Source organism: Homo sapiens, chromosome 9, assembly GCF_000001405.40.
Source record: "Homo sapiens chromosome 9, GRCh38.p14 Primary Assembly".
NCBI lineage: Eukaryota > Metazoa > Chordata > Mammalia > Primates > Hominidae > Homo > Homo sapiens.
In genome coordinates, this window is record NC_000009.12 from 85,829,005 (window position 1) to 85,848,425 (window position 19,421).

A 19,421-nucleotide genomic window follows, 5' to 3' on the forward strand; every position below is an offset into this window, starting at 1 on the left:
TAGACATCTTCAAAATATATCTCTTCATAATGAAAGTGTACAAAATCAGCAAATCTGCTTCATTCAAATGCCCTAATGTATTCTTATAACCCTATATGTCAATTTGGAAAATGTGAGCTCTTTGAGTGATCCACGTTAAAATCTCATAGCAGTTCTAGCAAACTTGTAAAAATCTTAGTGAAGGTACTCTAGAACCAAAACAACTAGTTTTTATATACAGGAAGTAAAAATCAGGAAAATCTTCTGTCTTCATGGTAATGAATTCCTGTGTTATAGCAATGGTAGGTTCTCTGAACTCTTTCTGCCTTTCTTAGAAAGAAATCAGAAAAAGTTGAAAATGAAAAAAAATTTATGAGACATCATCAAGCTATAATCAAATCACCATTTTTGTGTTATCATATGGGGTTTCTTGATTATTTTCCATGGTGAATGTCACTTGTGCCTTCTTTCCCCACTAGTGTGTGCTTGCTGCTGATGAAGTAGTATTTAATCAGAAGGAACTGGAGGTTAAGGAACTGAAGAATCAAGTGCAGATGATGGTACAGGAAAACAAAGGGCATGCTGTATCTTTGAAAGAAGCGCAAAAAGTGAATAGACTGCAGGTAGAGTTTCTTAATGCATCTAGCTCTGTAGATTTTCTTGAAATAGTACCTAACTAAACACAGTAGCATTTTAAATGATAAATGGGAACTTAAAAAAAGGATGTTCATTTGAAGACTTCTGAACATAGGCACCTGAGAGAATTATTAATTTTTCCTTTAAATCTGCTTAAATGGAAACATTTTTATTGTTAGCCTGACTTTGGTTTTAGAAATATAAAGATAATACCCAGGAAATTAATTTATAAATCATACCATGGTTATTTTTCCATACTTTTCCTTCCTGTTGTTTGCCAAGGTATTAGGAAATGCAGTATTGTTAGGAGTTGGATGGTAAATACATAATTTAAACTTTAAAATGTATTAAATTATCCTCTTATACCTCGTGAGTGGTTTGCTTTTTAACTTTGCTTACATCTTTCAAATTTTCTATCTTAGCTTTCCTATTATATTAACATGGATATGTCTACAGTATAACATAGTATGCCTCTACATATTATACTCCCTGGCTGTGGCTTCTCCCATCACCCCAAATAGTTAATATCATTTAAAGCCTTTAGCTTCCTATCAGGGAATAACTAATGCTCCGAGAAATAATCTGATCCAGCACACATCAGATTTTGATTTTCATGTTGTTTGATTTTTGTTTTCTTTTTTAACCCTTCTAATTGTATTTTGTTGTTGTTTGTTTTTGTTGTTGTTTTGTTTGTTTTGAGACAGGATCTCATTCTGTTGCTCAGGCTGGTGTGCGCTGGCACAATCACAGCTCACTGCAGTCTCGACCTTCCAGGCTCAAGTGATCCTCCCGCCTCAGCCTCCTAACTGTGACCACAGGTGCATGCCACCGCGCCCGGCTAATTTTCTGATTTTTTTGTGGAGACGGGGTCTCACTGTGTTGCTCAAGCTGGTCTCGAACTCCTGGGCTCAGTGATCCTACCACCTCAGCTTCCCAAAGTGCTGAGATTGATTACAGGTATGAGCCACCATGCCTGGCCCTAATTGTATAATAATTTAAAAACATAAAACTAAAGTATATACAAAACAATACATATTAATCAGTGATTTATCACAGAGAGAACAGCTGGGTAACCACCACCAGGTCAAGAAATTGCTAACTGCCAGCGCCTCAAAATTTTTAGTGCCTCCTTACAATTATTATTCCTCCCTCTTCCTCAGAGAGCCAGTCTCTTGACTTACATGGTAATCATTTCTTTGCTTTTCTTATGGTTTTACTATCTAAATATGTATCCTTCAACACTACAGTTTAGTTTTTGGAATTTTTATTAATTCAGTATAGCTTATTCAGTATCTCGCTGCTTTTGTTGAACATTATTATGATTCATCCACTTTTTAATTGTAATATTTTTTCTGTAAATTCTAATATTTTATCTGTAATGTGTGACTGTGGTTTGTTTAGTTTTATAGGTACATAGGATTTTATTGTATGACTATACCACAATTTATTTTCTGTTCTACTGTTTGATGGACATTTGTGGCTTTCTGTGAAATTTTCTCGTGAATTTTCAGTGTCTCTCGGTGCACATGCACATACATTTCTTTCAGATTTGTGCCTAGGAGTTGAATTGCTAGGCCATAGGGTAGGTATATCTTCAACTTTTGTGGGTGTTACCAAATTGTTTTCCGCTTTATACTCCCACCCAGCATTCTCACTATTCCATGTGAGCATTCTCACTGTTCCATATGCTTCTCAACATTTGTTATTAATTTTTAAATCTTAGCCAATCTGGTAGGCATGTAGTATCATTTTATTGTGGCTTTAGTTTGCATTTCCCTGATGACTAGTGAGGTTGAGCATTTTTTTCATATGTTTTTGGCTATTTGGATATCCTCCTTTGTGAAGTACTCATTCAAGTCTCTTGTTTGTTTTTCTATTGAGTTACCTGTCTTCTAGATTAATTTGTAGAGTTTGTTGTATATTCTGGGTGTGAGCGCTTTGTCACTTACATGATTGCAAATAATTTTTCTGTGGCTTGCTTTTTACTCTCAGTGGTATCTTTGATGAAGAGTTATTGTAATCAAATTCATCAATCTTTTCCTTTATGGTTAATGGTATTTGTTCTCTATTTAATAAGTTTTTCCTTTCCTCAATTGTTTCCTCTGAGGATACTTTCTATATTATCTTCCAGAAGCTTTATTGTTTTGCCTTCCACATTTAGCTGTATAGTCCTCCAGGAATTGATTTCTGTGTATGGAGTAAAGTAAAGATCAAATTTCATTTTTTAAACATATAGATATTCATTTGTTCTAGCATCATTTATTGGAAACCATCTTTTCACAATTGTTTTGAGTGCTATCTTTATCATAAATCTATCTTTATCATAAATCAAGGTCCATTTGTGCATGACTCTCTTGTCTATTTCTTGGCCTTCTATTCTGTTGGTTGATTTGTATCTCCTTGAGCCAAGATCACATTTCTTATTTATTGTAGGTTTATAATAAGTCTAGATATTTTGTAGAGCAAGGCCTTCTGCTGTTCTCCTTCCCTCCCAACTCCCCAGATGTCTTGGTTGTTCCATATAAATTTTATTTTAATTTTTAAATTTTTTAAGTAATTACTTTATTGAGATATAATTCACATACTATAGAATGCAGCCCTTCAAATATACAATTCAGTGATTTTTTATGTATTTACAGAATTGTCTAACCATCACACCATCTAATTTTAGAATATTTTTATCACCCCAAAATGAAAATATTGTATCCACTAGCAGTCACTCCTCATTTTCCTCCTTTCCTCAGCCCCTGGCAAAAACCACTTTACTTTCTACTTCTATGGATTTGCCTATTCTAAATATTTCATACAAATGGAATCATACAGTAAGTGGCCTTTGTGTGTGACTTCTTTCACTAAGTACGCTATTTTCATTTATTTATTTTTCATGGTCAAATAATTTTGTATGTTTCTGGGATACAGTGTAATGTTTTGATGTATGTATACATTATAGAAAGATTCAATCAAGTTGGTTAACATTAATTAACTAATTAACATTGAATTACATTTATATATCTGTTTAGAATTAATGAACGTATTTTGATTGAGTCTCCTAATCCATAAGCATGGTATAGTTCTCTATTTACTTAGATTTCCTTTGTTTTTTCTCAGTAATGGCCTACTTTTTTTGTGCAGAAATATTGCAAATAATTTATAGATTTCTTTTTAGGTACTTGATTTTTTTCTGTCACTGTAAATTGGAATCTTTAAAAAATTTTATTTTTCAAATTCCCCAATTGTTGGTATGTGGAACTGTACTAATTTTTAGATATTAATACATTATATATCCAGCAATCTGACTAAACTCAGTTTTTGATCAGGAGTGTCTACAGTTACCATCAGGTGGGGAGCCTTCAAAATTCCCAAGATAAATGGAAAAGATCCAAACTTTTTGGAAGTAATTTCTTTTTTTTGTTGTTTTTGAGATGGAGTCTCACTGTGTCACCCAAGATAAGAGTGCAGTGGCACAATCTCCGCTCACTGCAACCTCTGCCTCCCAGGCTTAAGCGATTCTCCTGCCTCAGTCTCCTGCGTAGCTGGGATTACAGGCACCCGCGCCACGCCTGGCTATAAACTTGTTTTTGTTGTTTTTTTGTTTGTTTGTTTGTTTTTTGAGACAGAGTCTCACTCTGTCATCCAGGCTGGAGTGCAATGGCATGATCTCGGCTCACTGTAACCTATGCCTCCTGGGTTCAAGTGCTTCTCCTGCCTCAGCCTCCCTAGTAGCTGGGACTACAGGCATGCACAACCATGCCTGGCTAATTTTTTTGTATTTTTAGTAGAGACAGGGTTTCAACATGTCAGTCAGTCACTTCTGACCTCAAATGATCTACCTGCCTTGGCCTCCCAAAGTACTGGGATTACAGGCGTTAGCCACCGTGCTCGGTCTATACTTGCTTTTTAATTCTAATATTTTATCTGTAAATTCTTTTGGATTTTCATTTATAATTATGTCATCTGCAAATAGTAACAGTTTCATTTCTTCCTTTATAATCCTTTCACCTTCTGTATCTTTTTCTTCTTCTATATCTTCTATATTGTATACTTTAAATAGTTGGATTCTATAGTATGTGAATTTTGTCTCAATAAAGTTATTATAAAAATACCTTCTTATATTTGCTGGGATCTCCACTGCAGTGTTGAATACAAGTGGTGATAGAAAGCATCCTTGTCTTGTTTCCAATCATAGAGGAAAAGCTTTCAAAATTTCATTCTGAAGTATTATATTTTCTATAGGTATTTTTAATTTACCCTTTCCCAAACTAAGGAAATAACTGAGAATTTTTATTATGAATGGATATTGATTTTTATCAAATGATTTTTCTTTATCATATGATTTTTTTCCTTATTCTGCTAATATGGTGAATTACACTGATTGACCTGATTTTTTTTTTTTTTTTTTTTTTTTTTTTTGAGTCAGAGTCTCACTGTGTCACCCAGGCTGGAGTGCAGTGGTGTGATCTCGGCTCACTGCAAGCTCTGCCTCCCGGGTTCATGCCATTCTCCTGCCTCAGCCTCCCAAGTAGCTGGGACTACAGGCACCCGCCACCACGCCTGGCTAATTTTTTTTTTTGCATTTTTAGTGGAGACGGGGTTTCACCGTGTTAGCCAGGATGGTCTCGGTCTCGATCTCCTGACCTTATGATCTGCCCACCTCGGCCTCCCAAAGTGCTGGGATTACAGGCGTGAGCCACAAAGCCCGGCCGATTGATCTGATTTTTAACCAATCTTTTATTCCTGGAATAAACCCTTTTTGTTGTTGATGTTGCGATATACTGTTGTATTGGGGGTTCCCCAAAACCACCCTCAGATTGGATGACGTACTAGGAGAACTCAATATATATTCATTCTCCTGGCTAGGATTTATTACAGTGAAAGGATGCAGAGCAAGATCAGCAAGGAAAAAGACACATGGAACAAAGTCTGGAGGAAACCAGGCACAAGCTTCCAAGACTTGTCTCTCAGCAGAGTCACAGAGGATGTGCTTAATCCCCCAGCAATGAGTTGTGACAACACCTATAAAATGTTATCTGGCAGGGGAACTAAGTAGACTCAGTGCCTATGGGTTATATTGAGGATGCGTGGGTCATGAAGGCACCCTTTGCCTAGCCCAGACTACCAGAGTCCCAGACTACAAGGAAAGCAGGTGTACACCATAAACCACATTGATTGTGCAAATAGTTGAGCACAGTGAGTCAGTATTATCAGAGTGTTTAAGAACACTCCCAAAATCCAAGCTCTCAGACATCTGACAACCTCATAGCAGATCTTCTAAAAGATAGCAGTCAGGTCTGCTATGTTAACTCTTCTGCACAATTGACCTAGATTTGGTTTGCTAGTGTGATGTTTATATTTGTCAGTAAGCTTGTCCTATATTTTTCTTTCTCATAGTATTCTTGTCAGATATTGTAACAAGTTATGCTGGCCTCATAATATAGATTATTTAATTCCCCCTATACCTGGAAAAGTGTGTGAAAATTGGTATTATTTCTTTCTTAAATGTTTGGTTGAATTAGCCTGTTAAGCATTTGGGACTGGAAATTTTCTTTGGGGGTATGTTTTATGAATTAAATCATATTAGTATTTTATTTTCCTCCAGTTTTGATAAGGTTTATTTTTCTAGGAATTTGACCATTGTATATAATTTTCAAATGTATTGGCATAAGTTTGTTTATGATAGTCTTTTATTCATTAATATCTTTAGCTGTGTAGTCACATGTCCCCTTTTTCATTCCTGATTATTTGTGCCTTCTCTCACTTTTTTTTCTTGCAGTTTCACTAGCTAGTAAAATTACCAATTCATTAGTCTCTTCAAAGAGACAATTTTTGACTTTGTTAATCCTCACTAGTGTATGTTTGTTCATTATTTCATTAGTTCACTATTTCACCAATTTCTGCCCTTTATTATTTAATTCCTTCTACTTTTGGGGTAACCTCCTGCTATCTTTTTAACATCTTTAGATGAATATTTAGTATATTGATTTTTAGCTTCTCTTCTTTGGTATATGCATTTAACATTACATATTTCTAAGCTTATCTTGACTTGCACTCCACATTGAGCTCAAAATGTTTCCTAATTTTCATTGTGACTTTTTGATTTGTGAATAACATAGTTATTTTATTTACAGGACATGAGGGATTTATTTTTGTTTTATCAATTTTTATTGCGTTGTGATCAGATAACATACTATCTCTGATTTCAGTCCTTTGAATGTATTGAAACTTGCTTTTTGGCTCAGAATAAGGCAAATGTTTGTAAATGTTACAGAGGTACTTGAGAAGAATATGCATTCTGCAATCATTGGGCACTGTTAATCCTATTATTCAAATCTACATTTTTTACTCAATTTTGAAGTCTTTTTGTTATATCAGTAATTTATAAAGTGATGTTAAAATCTCCCACTATGACAGACCTCCACTCTGTCACCCAGGCTGGGGCACAGTGGCACGATCATGAGTCACTGCAGCCTCGACCTCGTGGGCTCAAGCAGTCCTCCCACTTCAGCCTCCTGAGTAGCTGGGACCACAGGCGCACACCACAATGCCCTGCTAATTCTTGTATTTTTTGTAGAGAAGGGGTTCTTCACCATGTCGTCCAGGCTGCTCTCAAACTCTTGGGCTCAAGTGATCTACTGGCCTTGGCCTCCCAGTGTGCTGGGATTACAGGTGTGAGCCCTACTGTGCCCAGCCCTACTATAATTTTGGATTTGTCTTATTTCTCCATGAAGTGCTGATAGTTTTTACACTACAAATATTGAAGCTGTGTTATTAAGTGCATACAAATGTAGAATTGTTATACCATCCTGGTGAATTGCTCTTTTAATCATTTTTACCTCTTCTTATCTAATGAGTTTTGCCTTAAAGTCTACCTTGACATTACTATGGCTACACCAGCTTTCTTTTGATTAATATTTACATGGTATCTCTTTTTCTATCTTATTTTTAATCTTTCTGTGTCTATTTTAGATATGTTTCTTGTAAGCAGCATATGGTTAGATAATTTTAAAATCCTTTCTGATAGTCTTTATCTTTTAATTTCATTATTCATTTATTAATTTAACATAATTACTGTTTTGTTAAAAATCCACCATTGTGCCTTTTATTTATCCTTCCTCGTCTGTGTTCCTTTTTCCCTCCTTTGGATCGTTGGTTATTCTTTTTCTGTTGTTTTCTCCACTAACTTAGAAGTTATAGTTTTACTCTTTTTTTAGTGGTTATCCTAGAGAGTATACCATGCACCCTAATATTAATTGGTACTTTTATCCTTTTCCCAGGCAATGTAAGAACTCCATTGAATCCTTTGATGTTGTATATTTTAATTATCTGAATACGTGATTTTTAAGTAAGGTTGCATTTTTATTGCTCAGCATTTATACAATGAAAACATAAGGTTTTTTTTTTTTTCCTATTTCAACATTGTAGTACATGTGAAGTATTAAGATGAATGAGTGTTTCTTATTTACATAAATTTGTGCTTGTAAAACAAAGATTGACATTAGAACTTTCTAGATTTGATACACTTCAAAAATTTTCTTTAGAGGATACACAAAAAAAACTAAATCACATATACACAAACACACACACACATTCCTGATAAACAATTTGTTCTGCCTTTGATTTCCAAGTTCTCCTTCCTCTCAGGACTATCAGTTGGCTATCTTCTATCTGTCTGCTTTTGGCTTCCTTTTTCACTAAGGCTTTCACTTCCCTGCACTTGTTACCTCCTTCTGCCTCCTTTGCTGCAAACTCTGCTGCCTACAATTCTTTCTCCACTTTTTGAACTTTCTTGTTTCTTTTTACTTTTTGGATTTCACTCAGAAAGTCCATACTTTAATACAGAAAGCTAATCAAAGTGCTTCAGGTTGGCAAAGCAACCAGTCACAGTGGATGGGGTGTTATCTTTGAGTATTTGACTTTTGACTTTTTTGGCTGTGTTTGTTGCTCCTTACTATTAAAAAGGTTTTACCACTCAGAACAATGTTAGTTACTTGTGAACACCAGAAGGCTAGTCTCTGGATAAATGAGAATTGACTGTATTATTAAAGTAGTTATGAGTTTGGTCAATGTAAAATTCGTTTTTAATCATAATCTGAATGTACTGAAGTGCTCTATTTTAAAATTTTTCGTCTCTCTTCTACAAAGAATGAAAAAATAATAGAACAACAACTTCTTGTGGATCAACTGAGTGAAGAACTAACAAAACTTAACCTGTCAGTGACTTCTTCAGCTAAAGAAAATTGTGGAGACGGGCCAGATGCCAGGATCCCTGAAAAGAGACCATATACTGTACCATTTGATACTCATTTGGGGCATTATATTTATATCCCATCAAGACAAGATTCCAGGAGGGTAAAGTCCAAACAATCTTTTCCTTATTTTGAGATTAAAAAAATTTTAGCCATGTGTAGTATCACAGTGTATTTATACAGTCTCAGCAGATTTTTTTTGTTTGATTTTATGGAATTTTGTATATACCTTTTAAGCATACTTCTTTCTAGTAAAAAACTAATAAGAGAATACACAGTTACATTTGGAGGGAATAGTTGGATGGAGATAATGTCTATACTTCATCAATGTGAAAAAGGTATCCTTTGCCATATTTTCAGACATGACCAAGTTTAATATCTACATGAATTTATTTCTTCCTTTAACCACACAAAGTTGAGATGTTAGAGGATATTTATTTCAACTTGTTTGGTCTGTCATTTTTGAAATAATATTTATATGCTATTCAGTCTTACCAAGTAGACATAATCAAGACAATATAAATATCAATATAAATTTTAGTTTGTGGTTGGTAAATATATACACACACAGTTTTAAGAATTATCAAAGAATCTCTATTATGGAAAAGACTTAATTAGCAGATTCATGAGTTTTGGTTTAGCAGGTTCATGAATTGTGGTTTCTATTTCCTCATTTTATGAAGGGAAATGATTTGTTCACGTGAGATCCATCTGGTTGTTACAGTCAGAGGGATAAGAAATGAAAGGCAAGTGATACATGAGCAGTGCCATGGACTTTGCATCAGGCAGCCTTGGGTGGTATGAATACTATAATAGCTCTGGACATTTGGTTTTCTTTTTTACAAAAGTCAGATTTGGAGAATGAAGGTACATAGATTTTCTTAAATAATGTAGACCTAATGGTTATAGGACACTTACCTTTTTCCTCAGTTGATAATTTAAGAAATTTTAAAAGGAAATTACAATCCCAGAGAACGAAGTTGGACTCTGAACAAAAGGTTTTATTATTTGCTCCTTAAATAATTCCCAAACTCTCACAAGAGAAAACTAGATGCCTGCCAGTTATGGGATAAAATAGCCATGTCTAGTACGTTGTATTTGTTAGATCAGTACTTCTTGAGTTGGTTCTTCTTAAAGAATTCCCCTCCCTCATACCCCATTGGGAGGCCACCTAAAAAACTTTACGCCCATCTATCATGATGCTGATGTGACAGATGATCTAATTAGGTGACTGACAGCAGAAGCACAAAAATCAGATATAAGATGATTTTCAGAATCAGGTAGGATTTTTTAGGAGAGAATACATGACGGGGGCCTATTGTCAAGTGATTAAATCCCAAACACCGTGTGATACTCATATTCCACTATATGTTATAATTTTAACAGCTTATAATAATTTATATTGATAAATGGACTGTCTCCTCTAAGATTTTATTGCCTGTTGTGAGAAGTCATCTTGAGGTTTGGTTACAGAGATGGTGCAGAGGAAATATTTTGTAATAGAAACCAGAACAAAGGTATAAAGGCAATTTCTAATTTATTGTTGTTGTTTTCCAAGGTCATTTTTTTTTTTGAGAATTTAAAATGCATTTCCAATAGAAGAATGTTGTACTGTGGAAAATTCCCAGGCTAGCCATACAATTTTATTTGTCCTATGACATATATTAAATATTTTTCCTAGAGCCTTAATTCAGCTATACCTAACTACCATGTATAAAGAATAAGTATATACATTGTGGTATTCAGATTAGGAATATTGCCCTGGCAGAGGGAGTGGAGACGGCTCTGGGTTTCTTCCTGTGGTAGGATTTGGATTGGAGGGGATGCAGACCTTTGGCGGCAGCACCACAGTTCTCCAGGTGTTCTGAACTGGGAAGATGGGGAAGAGGGCACATTTGTTGGGGTGTGTCTGTGTTGTGTTTAAGAGCTAGGATGTTTTCCATGCGTTCTTTTGGTTTCATTTTTGAATACTGTTTTCCGTAAGTGAAGATAGAAGAGTTGTCCAGAAGAGAAGGAGCTGTGTAGATTCTGAAAGAAGTATTTGTCTGTGAGGCACAACAGTATTGTTAAATTAATTTTGACCTTTGTTTGAGGGGAGCATTTTCCAGTGATTGGCTATTTTAAGAGTGCCAATCTAATAACCCCTTTAAAAGCACTTAGAGTAATAGGATAAAATTAGACTTTTAAAATATCACTTTTTTTGTTGTTGGGTAGGGGAATCACTTGCAAGGTCCACACAAGTCCGCCTATGTACTCTCTGGATCGAATATTTGCTGGATTTCGAACACAAAGTCAGATGCTGTTGGATCACGTAGAAGAACGAGATGAGGTCCTCCACTGCCAATTTTCTGATAACAGTGATGATGAAGAATCAGAAGGCCAAGAGAAATCTGGAACTAGGTATGTTAAATATACACTGATTTAATAAATATTTAGAATTATATGCTGCAATAAATATAAAAGTGTAGGTTTTTTCCATTGGAGTATATCTTTTATGTTTAATAGAAGAGTAGGTAACTTTTGCTAAATGTACTGTCATCTAATGTGTTATGAAAATAGTATTTGAACACAAGTCATCAGTCTTATAACTGAAAAATAATTTTGCTTTTAGAGCTTTTATAGTAATGAGATTCTAATTTTCAGAGGGTTTTTTTTTTTTTTTTGGATTTCCTTATTCTGCTGCCACATTGGCAACAAACATGACTTTTCTGCTGGATTCAACATGGGTGAGGGGGGCATCCTTCTATTTTGAGCAATATTAGTAACATTCTGTTTTTATATGTAATTAATAATTTTTTTAACATTACTGTCACTTTTTGGGGAAACTAATTTGAGGGCAGATTAGAAAACACTAACAAATAAGTTAACTTTCTGATTTTTTTTTAAGATGTAGAAGTCGTTCATGGATTCAGAAGCCAGACTCTGTTCCCTTGTTGAATTGAGTGATACTCAGGATGAAACACAAAAGTCAGATTCGGAGAATGAAGGTACATAGATCTTCTTAAATAATGTAGACCTAATGGTTATAGGACACTTATCTTTTTCCTCAGTTGATAATTTAAGAAACATCCAGGAATTCTCAAAGACCAGAATTTGGTACAAATGGTTTCCTAGTTGATAGAACTTCTTTTATGTTCTCTGTTTTACCTCTTTTACTCCTTAATAAAAAAAGATTTTCTATCAATTAATTATGGCTAGAGATATAGGCTAACTCCCTCAGAATAAGGATTTTTATATTCAGACCTGAATTGATATGCTTTGTATTCCTGATGATGTTAAAATACAGTATAAATAATTGTACTAGGTGTCTACTCCTTCACTGGGACTTGTGCCTAACGTCAATGATGTATTTGGCATTAGAGCCCAATTAGTGTACTGGGTGTTGGTAATGTTTTAGTACACAACTGCTAAGAATTTTTATGCATCAATAACAACATCAAAAACATTTATGAGCCACGCATAGTAGCTCATGCCTGTAATCCCAGTGCTTTGAGAGGCTGAAACGGGAGAATTGCCTGAGGCCAGGAGTTTGAGGCCAGCCTGAGCAACATAGTGAGATTGTCTCTCTACAGAAAATTAGCCGAGCATGGTGGTGTGTACCTACTCAGGAGGAAGGCTGAGGCGGGAGAATCGCTTGAGCCCAGGAGTTCGAGGCTGTAGTGAGCCGAGATCACACCACTGCACTCTAGTCTAGGCGACAGAGCAAGACCCTGCCTCAAAAAAAAAAAAAAAAAAACTCCTACTACCCTATAGTTTTCACAACTTTTTTTTTTTTTTAGACGAAGTCTCTCCCTGTCACCCAGGCGGGAGTGCAATGGTGCAGTGTCGGCTCACTGCAGCCTCCGCCTCCTAGGTTCAAGCGATTCTCCTGCCTCAGCCTTCCAAGTAGCTGGGACTACAGATGTGTGCCACCACACCCGGCTAATTTTTGTATTTTTAGTAGAGATGGGGGTCTCACTATGTTGGCCAGGCTGGTCTCGAACTTCTGACCTTGTGATCTGCACAGCTTAGCCTCCCAAAGTGCTGGGATTACAGGCGTGAGCCACTTTGCCCAGCCGGTAGTAGTAGATTTTGTTAACTCATCTCTTTTGGTCAATGCGTGGTTGACCCACAAAAAATAAGGGAATAGGGAATATAATACAAGTGCTACACTTTGAAAATATAGAGCATCTCTTTAAGAATCTATATGTGGCTTTATGAGCCAAAAATTTAAGTATAACTAAAATAAATTTCAAAATGTGGAAATAACAAAGGTAAATGCTACTCAAGCAGCCATGCTTGAGCTGTTTGTTACTGCTCTGCAACCAGGAAAAAAACTTATGTCGGAATGTAAATGAGCTTACACTAGTTCCTTCCTTGAGAAAGTCTGGCTATGAAAAAAATGTCACCTGAACTAAAGCAGTGTGCTTAGTGACATAGTTGATTTACATTCTGGTGCAGGACAGTAACAAACAGTGCTAGACCACACTCTGAGTAGCCTGGTATAGTCTGCATTCTCCAATTACAATAAAAGTAGAAGTTGATAGGAAACAAATTCACCCCTCTATCCATCTGGAAATTTTACACCTATCTCAAATAACTCATGTTAAAGGCAATGAAAAACTGTGTGTCTGAACCTATGGGATATTAAGAAAGAATATATACATATATGTATTAATTTGTAAGAAAATAAAAACTCTTATTGTAAGCTGGAATGCTTGAGTCCCAGTTGCTGTGTATTTTTCCCCTTTTTCCTCCCCTTCCTTTTTGTCTCTTCCACTGCCACCTCTAAATTGCTTTTGAGTCTGCTTTTCTTTTTTTAACTCTACTTCTGTTGAATATTTTACCAGCAGATAGTTTTATTTCTCCATTTTTTTTAAAGATTTAAAGATTGATTGTCTCCAGGAGAGTCAAGAATTGAATTTGCAAAAATTAAAGAATTCAGAACGCATACTTACTGAAGCCAAACAAAAAATGAGAGAACTTACAGTTAACATCAAGATGAAGGAAGATCTGATTAAAGAATTAATAAAAACAGGTAATAGTATCTTGTGAACCAGCTTATATGAGAAAGAAAACTTCTAAAATTGCTTCTGATGTGGTAACAGTTACTTTAGTTTTTGAAGCTCAGGTCTATCCACTTAGCTTGGATTGGTGTAACAAGGTGAGTTTTTAGGCCAATATGTGGAGGTTAGTTATCAGAAGAATTTTTTTCTTTTGGGATTTCACCTCTGAATTGTTCTAACCGGTGTGAACTCTGCATTGTGCTGAAATTCTGTGGCACTTAATGTGCCAGTTACAACATGTTTATTTTATTTTTTTGAGACAGGATCTCACTGTGTCACCCAGGCTGGAGTGCAGTGGTGTAGTCATGACTCACTGCAGCCTTGACCTCTGGGGCTCAACCAATCCTCCTACCTCAGCCTCCCAAGTAGCTGGGACTACAGGCGTGTGCCACCATGCCCAGTACGCACCTGTAGTTTTTATAAATTTTTTTTGCAGTGTATTAGAATTGATAAAATATAGTATAGATGTCCTGTTATTATTAGTTGGCAGAAGCAGCTGCTATTCAAGAGAAGTCTTCAGTGAGAGGGCATTGAAAAGTAAGCACTCATTGACACTTTTGATAGTCACCATCTCTGAGGATTTTTAGGAAAGCTCCAAATTGCCGTTGGTTCTAATGAGCAAGAAAAGGGTCTTCTCTGTGTAAGCTCTGGTATCCTCTATTTTAAAACAACCACGTTGGGTATACCAGGCTACAAACACATGCTTGTTTAATGAGATCCATAGTAAGATAACCTTTCTGAAAGAAAGTCGTTGATTCTAGTGGGTAAATATCCTCAACTTCCACAGGCAGTACCCTGAAATCTTGGGAATGGAGAAACCATTCTAGATCAGCTCCTAGATACTCCTAGGAGGGGTCAACTGGTGTTTGATCCTGCCTGTGGGGAAGCAGCATGGTCAAACTCATTTAAACATCTGGGTAACTGGAGCTAGGTTGATGCATAGAATGAGAAAGGAAAAAGCTTTGGGAAAGTAGCTAAGCAGAGGATGCTTTTTAAAAAATGTCAAAAAAACCCCACAAAAACTTAATGCCCTTAATGCGGTCTCACTGAAGACTTCTCTTGAATAGCAGCTACTTCTGCCAACTAATAATTACAGGACATCTATACTATGTTCTATCAATTCTAATACACTGCAAAAAAATTTATAAAAACTACTGATGCGTACTGGGCATGGTGGCACATGCCTGTAGTCCCAGCTACTTGGAAGGCTGAGGTAGGAGGATTGGTTGAGCCCCAGAGGCCAAGGCTGCAGTGAGTCATGATTGCACCACTGCATTCCAGCCTAGGTGACAGAGCAAGACTGTCTCAAAAAAATAAAATAAACATGTTGTTATTGGCACTGTATATTTTTTTACTGGTTCATAAAATATTGGTGTATTGAACAATTAATGAATAGTCCAAAATGATTTGTTAAAATATAGTAGTTGTATGTATTCTAAAGTTAGTCAAGTAATCATAAATTAGAGTCAGAGGACAGTTCACACTACATTTAGTTAAATAACTTTTATCAAAAAATGATGAGTATTTTTGGATAGCAGTATAACCAGCTATATAAATAGTATAATAGGCTGGGCGCGGTGGCTCACGCCTGTAATCCCAGCACTTTGGGAGGCCAAGGCAGGCGGATCATTTGAGGTCAGGAGTTCGAGACCAGCCTGGCCAACATGGTGAAACCCTGTCTCTACTAAAAATACAAAAATTAGCTGGGCATGGTGGCGTGTGCCTGTAATCCCAGCTACTCAGGAGGCTGTGGCAGGAGAATTGCTGGAACCCAGGAGGCGGAGGTGGCAGTGAGCTTACGTTGTACCACTGCACTCTAGCCTGGGTGACAGAGCGAGACTCTGTCTAAATAAATAAATAGTATAATAAACTGTCTCTGGTGATTATTCACCCCCTGAGCCTTAGACTCCTGTTTTCTACTGCCACGAGTTTGCCAGTCTAGTTCAGGGACGGTTGCCTATTCAGAGCAAATCAAAACCAAGCTTTTAGGGTCACTAGCTGGACTTAGAATCAAAAGAGATACAGAAATATCTTTATTCTATTTTTTCTGTTCTATATATTAATAAGAAAAGAATTTAAAAGGAATTAATCTTGAATAAGTTCAGGTTAGTGAAAAAGGAGAGAGTTAGCTTTGGATGAAAAGATTCTTAAGAGACATAACAAATCAAATGTATTGTGGACCTTGTTTAGATCCTGATTTAAATAAACCAATTGTGAGACACATTTTGAGGCAGTTGGGGACGTCTGAATATGGACTGATTGGTGTTAATATTGTTAGTGTGATAATGACTTTTTGGTTATGTCCATATTTTGTGTGAATGCCGATTGCAGTATGTATAAGTAAAAAGAGGAATTTAACAAAATGAAGTATGTATAGGTGAGATGAGTGACATCTGGGATTGCTTTACAATATTTAAGCAAAGTAAAAAGACATATTTGAAGCAGCTGTGACAAAATCTTGATAACTTTTAAATCTGGGTGATGGGGGTTCATTTTATTATTTCTTTTGTTATATTTAAAAATTTTCATAATAATTTGAAAAAGGAATTCAAGCAGACAGATTATTGGTAGCAGGAGGCTGGAGTATACTAAGCAAGAGGACAGTCACTCCAAATATCCTTCTTAACTGAGTTTGATGCCAGCAAAGCTCAACTACAAATTCAGAGGACCAGAAATGTCACTGTAAAATGCCAAAGATTGAACCAGTGAGACTGACTGGCAGCAGATGGGAACAGTCATTAAGGAACTAATTATTAAGAGGCCTGATGGCAAGCTGTGTTTGATGGGGGTGGGTGGGGACAACTGGGTTTTTAATGCTATGCCTTAAATAGTATCACTGCCTGGCTGGATTTTAGAGTAGAGTATTTTTATGTTTTTGATGTTTAACTTCTTTTTACATAATTTATACTAATAGTAATTATTATTACGGTTAAGGTAACGATGCCAAGTCTGTAAGCAAGCAGTATACTTTGAAAGTAACAAAGCTAGAGCATGATGCAGAACAGGCAAAAGTCGAACTAACTGAAACACAAAAGCAGCTACAGGAGCTGGAAAACAAAGATCTTTCTGATGTTGCAATGAAGGTAAAATTACAGAAAGAGTTTCGTAAAAAGGTGGATGCTGCAAAGCTGAGAGTTCAGGTAATTTTAAAAATGTAATTGAGAAAACTTATATAAGCTTTCTTGCTTCTGAGGATTCTTGTACTGAGTTAGGAAAGAAGTGGGATTCAGTTTATACCAGCAAGAGAAACTGGGTGTTAACTTTTCTTTTGTAGTGTGCTGGTCGATTTACATATTTTACAATCTGGGTAGTATATTTCTTAATTCGAGAAGTATATTCTTTCAATCATATCAAAAAACCACATGGTAAGAAATAAACATAACCACAAAACAGTGTTTTTTTCTGAAGGACAAAGGATTAAATAATGGTTAAATAATACAAATAAAACAGCTGGTACATATATGACACTTTGTAGACACTCAACAAATGGGAACTATTTCGAGATATGGTTTTCCCAAACCATAACTGATTGGCTTAAGAAAGGTTAATAACTTTGTGTACTGCAATTCATCCTTAACTTCCTAATGCCTGGTTTTAGCTTTAACTTTAGAAATAGCTACAGTTAAAAATTCTATTCTATGAGAAATATTCCATCACATAGAGATTTTGTGTGATGAAGCCATTTCCAGGTGCTTTGGAGATAGTCACAGTGCTTTGTTAGTCTGATCATAATGAGCTTTCTAGGATGTGTCCTCTATTTCTTTATCTCTCATGGTCTACTGTTTTCTTTCATGTTATAGAAGCATTTTTATATTTTTCCATTATAGGTAGAGTTGTAATTAACCTATTCACAGCATTATTATTATTATTATTGAACTATGCCACAGTTATTTGCTTTCAACAAAATAGATGTTTACAATATACCTCTGGTGTGCCCGGTATATTGTAATATACCAGTATATTCTGGTGTGACAGGCCAGAAAAGTCCCTCCTGGGGTTTCTGATGCCACCTCAAACATCTGGATATTTCCACTAAAAGTTGTTACCTAAATAGCTTCTCAAGTCAACATCAAGTTAAAATAATATGGCTTGAATGTTTGAACTGCTTAAAGGAGGACATAGGGTGGTTATCTATGTTACACCTTCCATTTTCCTTCAGCATAGTTATTTCCACTTTGGAATTCACCTTTCCATGCTTTGCTTCCTGCTGTATATCCTTTTCTGCTAAGAGTACTGATAAGGAAAGAAAATGAAAGGTGTAGAACTTTACCTCAAAAGAAACATCTGATACAGCAGAGGACAGAAAGAAGACATAGTTTTAGAAATTTTGTACCTTTGACATATCCATGCGCTACTCATGGAGATAAGGATGATAAGGAGGATGAGGAGGACAGTAGTTACCATTTGTTGAGGGCCTATGCATACCAAATGGTTTATACGCATTATTTAATCCTTTGAAGTGGGCATTTTTAGCCATTTTACAAATGTGGAAAGAAAGGTTTAGAAAGGTAAAATAACTCAGTCAGAGTCCCAGAGTGGTGATGACAATACCGGTTTTCAGTTCTCTAACATATCATACTTTTTTTTTGAGGTGAAGTCTTGCTCTGTTGCCCAGGCTGGAGTGCAGTGGCATGATCTCAGCCCACTGCAGTTGCCTCCTCCCAGGCTCAAATGATCCTCTTGCCTCAGGCTCTCAAATATCTGGGATTACAGGTGCCTGCCACCACACCCGCAAATTTTTGTATTTTTAGTACAGACGCAGTTTCACCACATTGGCCAGGCTGGTCTCAAACTCCTGACCTCAAGTGATCCACCCGTCTCAGCCTCAGAAAGTGCTGGGATTACAGGTGTGAGTCACCACACCCAGCCATATCATGCTGTTTTAAAATATTGAAATACTAGTATTATTATTGGTATAAAACAGTTATTTCAATTTTTAAAACAAAACATTTTTAAATTAAAAACTTCTAAAACCTATATTTTTAATGTCTTTAAGTATATGTAGAGCGTTACATGCTTCATTAATAGTTTAATGCTGACAGATGCACTTTTGAGCAACTATGAAATAAGTGCAAAAGACAATGGCAACAGTATCTCACTCTTAAGACTTTTAGGATGTACACTGATATTTTTAATATTATGTGAAAAAGACACTAAAATGCTGGTATTAGCATTTTTGCTGCAGTATTGTAATTACTGTCAATTGTAAGTGGCAAAGCCAGTGTCCAAATTTAGGTACTGGAAACGGCAAAGGCCTGTGGCCTCCAAGCCAGTGGTACCCAAAGTAGTCCATCTGCCGATTGTTCTTGTTCTGTGATGAGATAAAGGTCAGTCATTGCACAGCTTCCTTGATCAAAAAAGTCTCGCATGAAAACGTCAACCGAATCTAACAGTATGCTGAGGAGTGCAAATTGACAACAATGTCTGTGAACTAGCACTGGTCCACAGATCACATTTTGAGTAGCACTGCTCTAAGCAGCAGTGCCTCTTGGATACTTAGTTTAATTAAAACAAAACT

The 19,421-nt window shown here is 36.1% G+C and overlaps 1 pseudogene across 1 annotated transcript in view; it reads left to right on the forward strand.

Annotated features, from left to right (window-relative positions):
* LOC389765 (kinesin family member 27 pseudogene) overlaps positions 1 to 13,875 on the forward strand; it is a 36,878-nt pseudogene extending 23,003 nt beyond the window's left edge. The window contains exons 4-9 of the transcript NR_029410.1: positions 459 to 602; positions 1,320 to 1,572; positions 8,755 to 8,961; positions 11,073 to 11,258; positions 11,746 to 11,845; positions 13,720 to 13,875. The product of NR_029410.1 is annotated as a kinesin family member 27 pseudogene (transcript). The remainder of the gene's footprint in view (positions 1 to 458; positions 603 to 1,319; positions 1,573 to 8,754; positions 8,962 to 11,072; positions 11,259 to 11,745; positions 11,846 to 13,719) is intronic.
* The last annotated feature ends 5,546 nt before the right edge of the window (positions 13,876 to 19,421 follow it).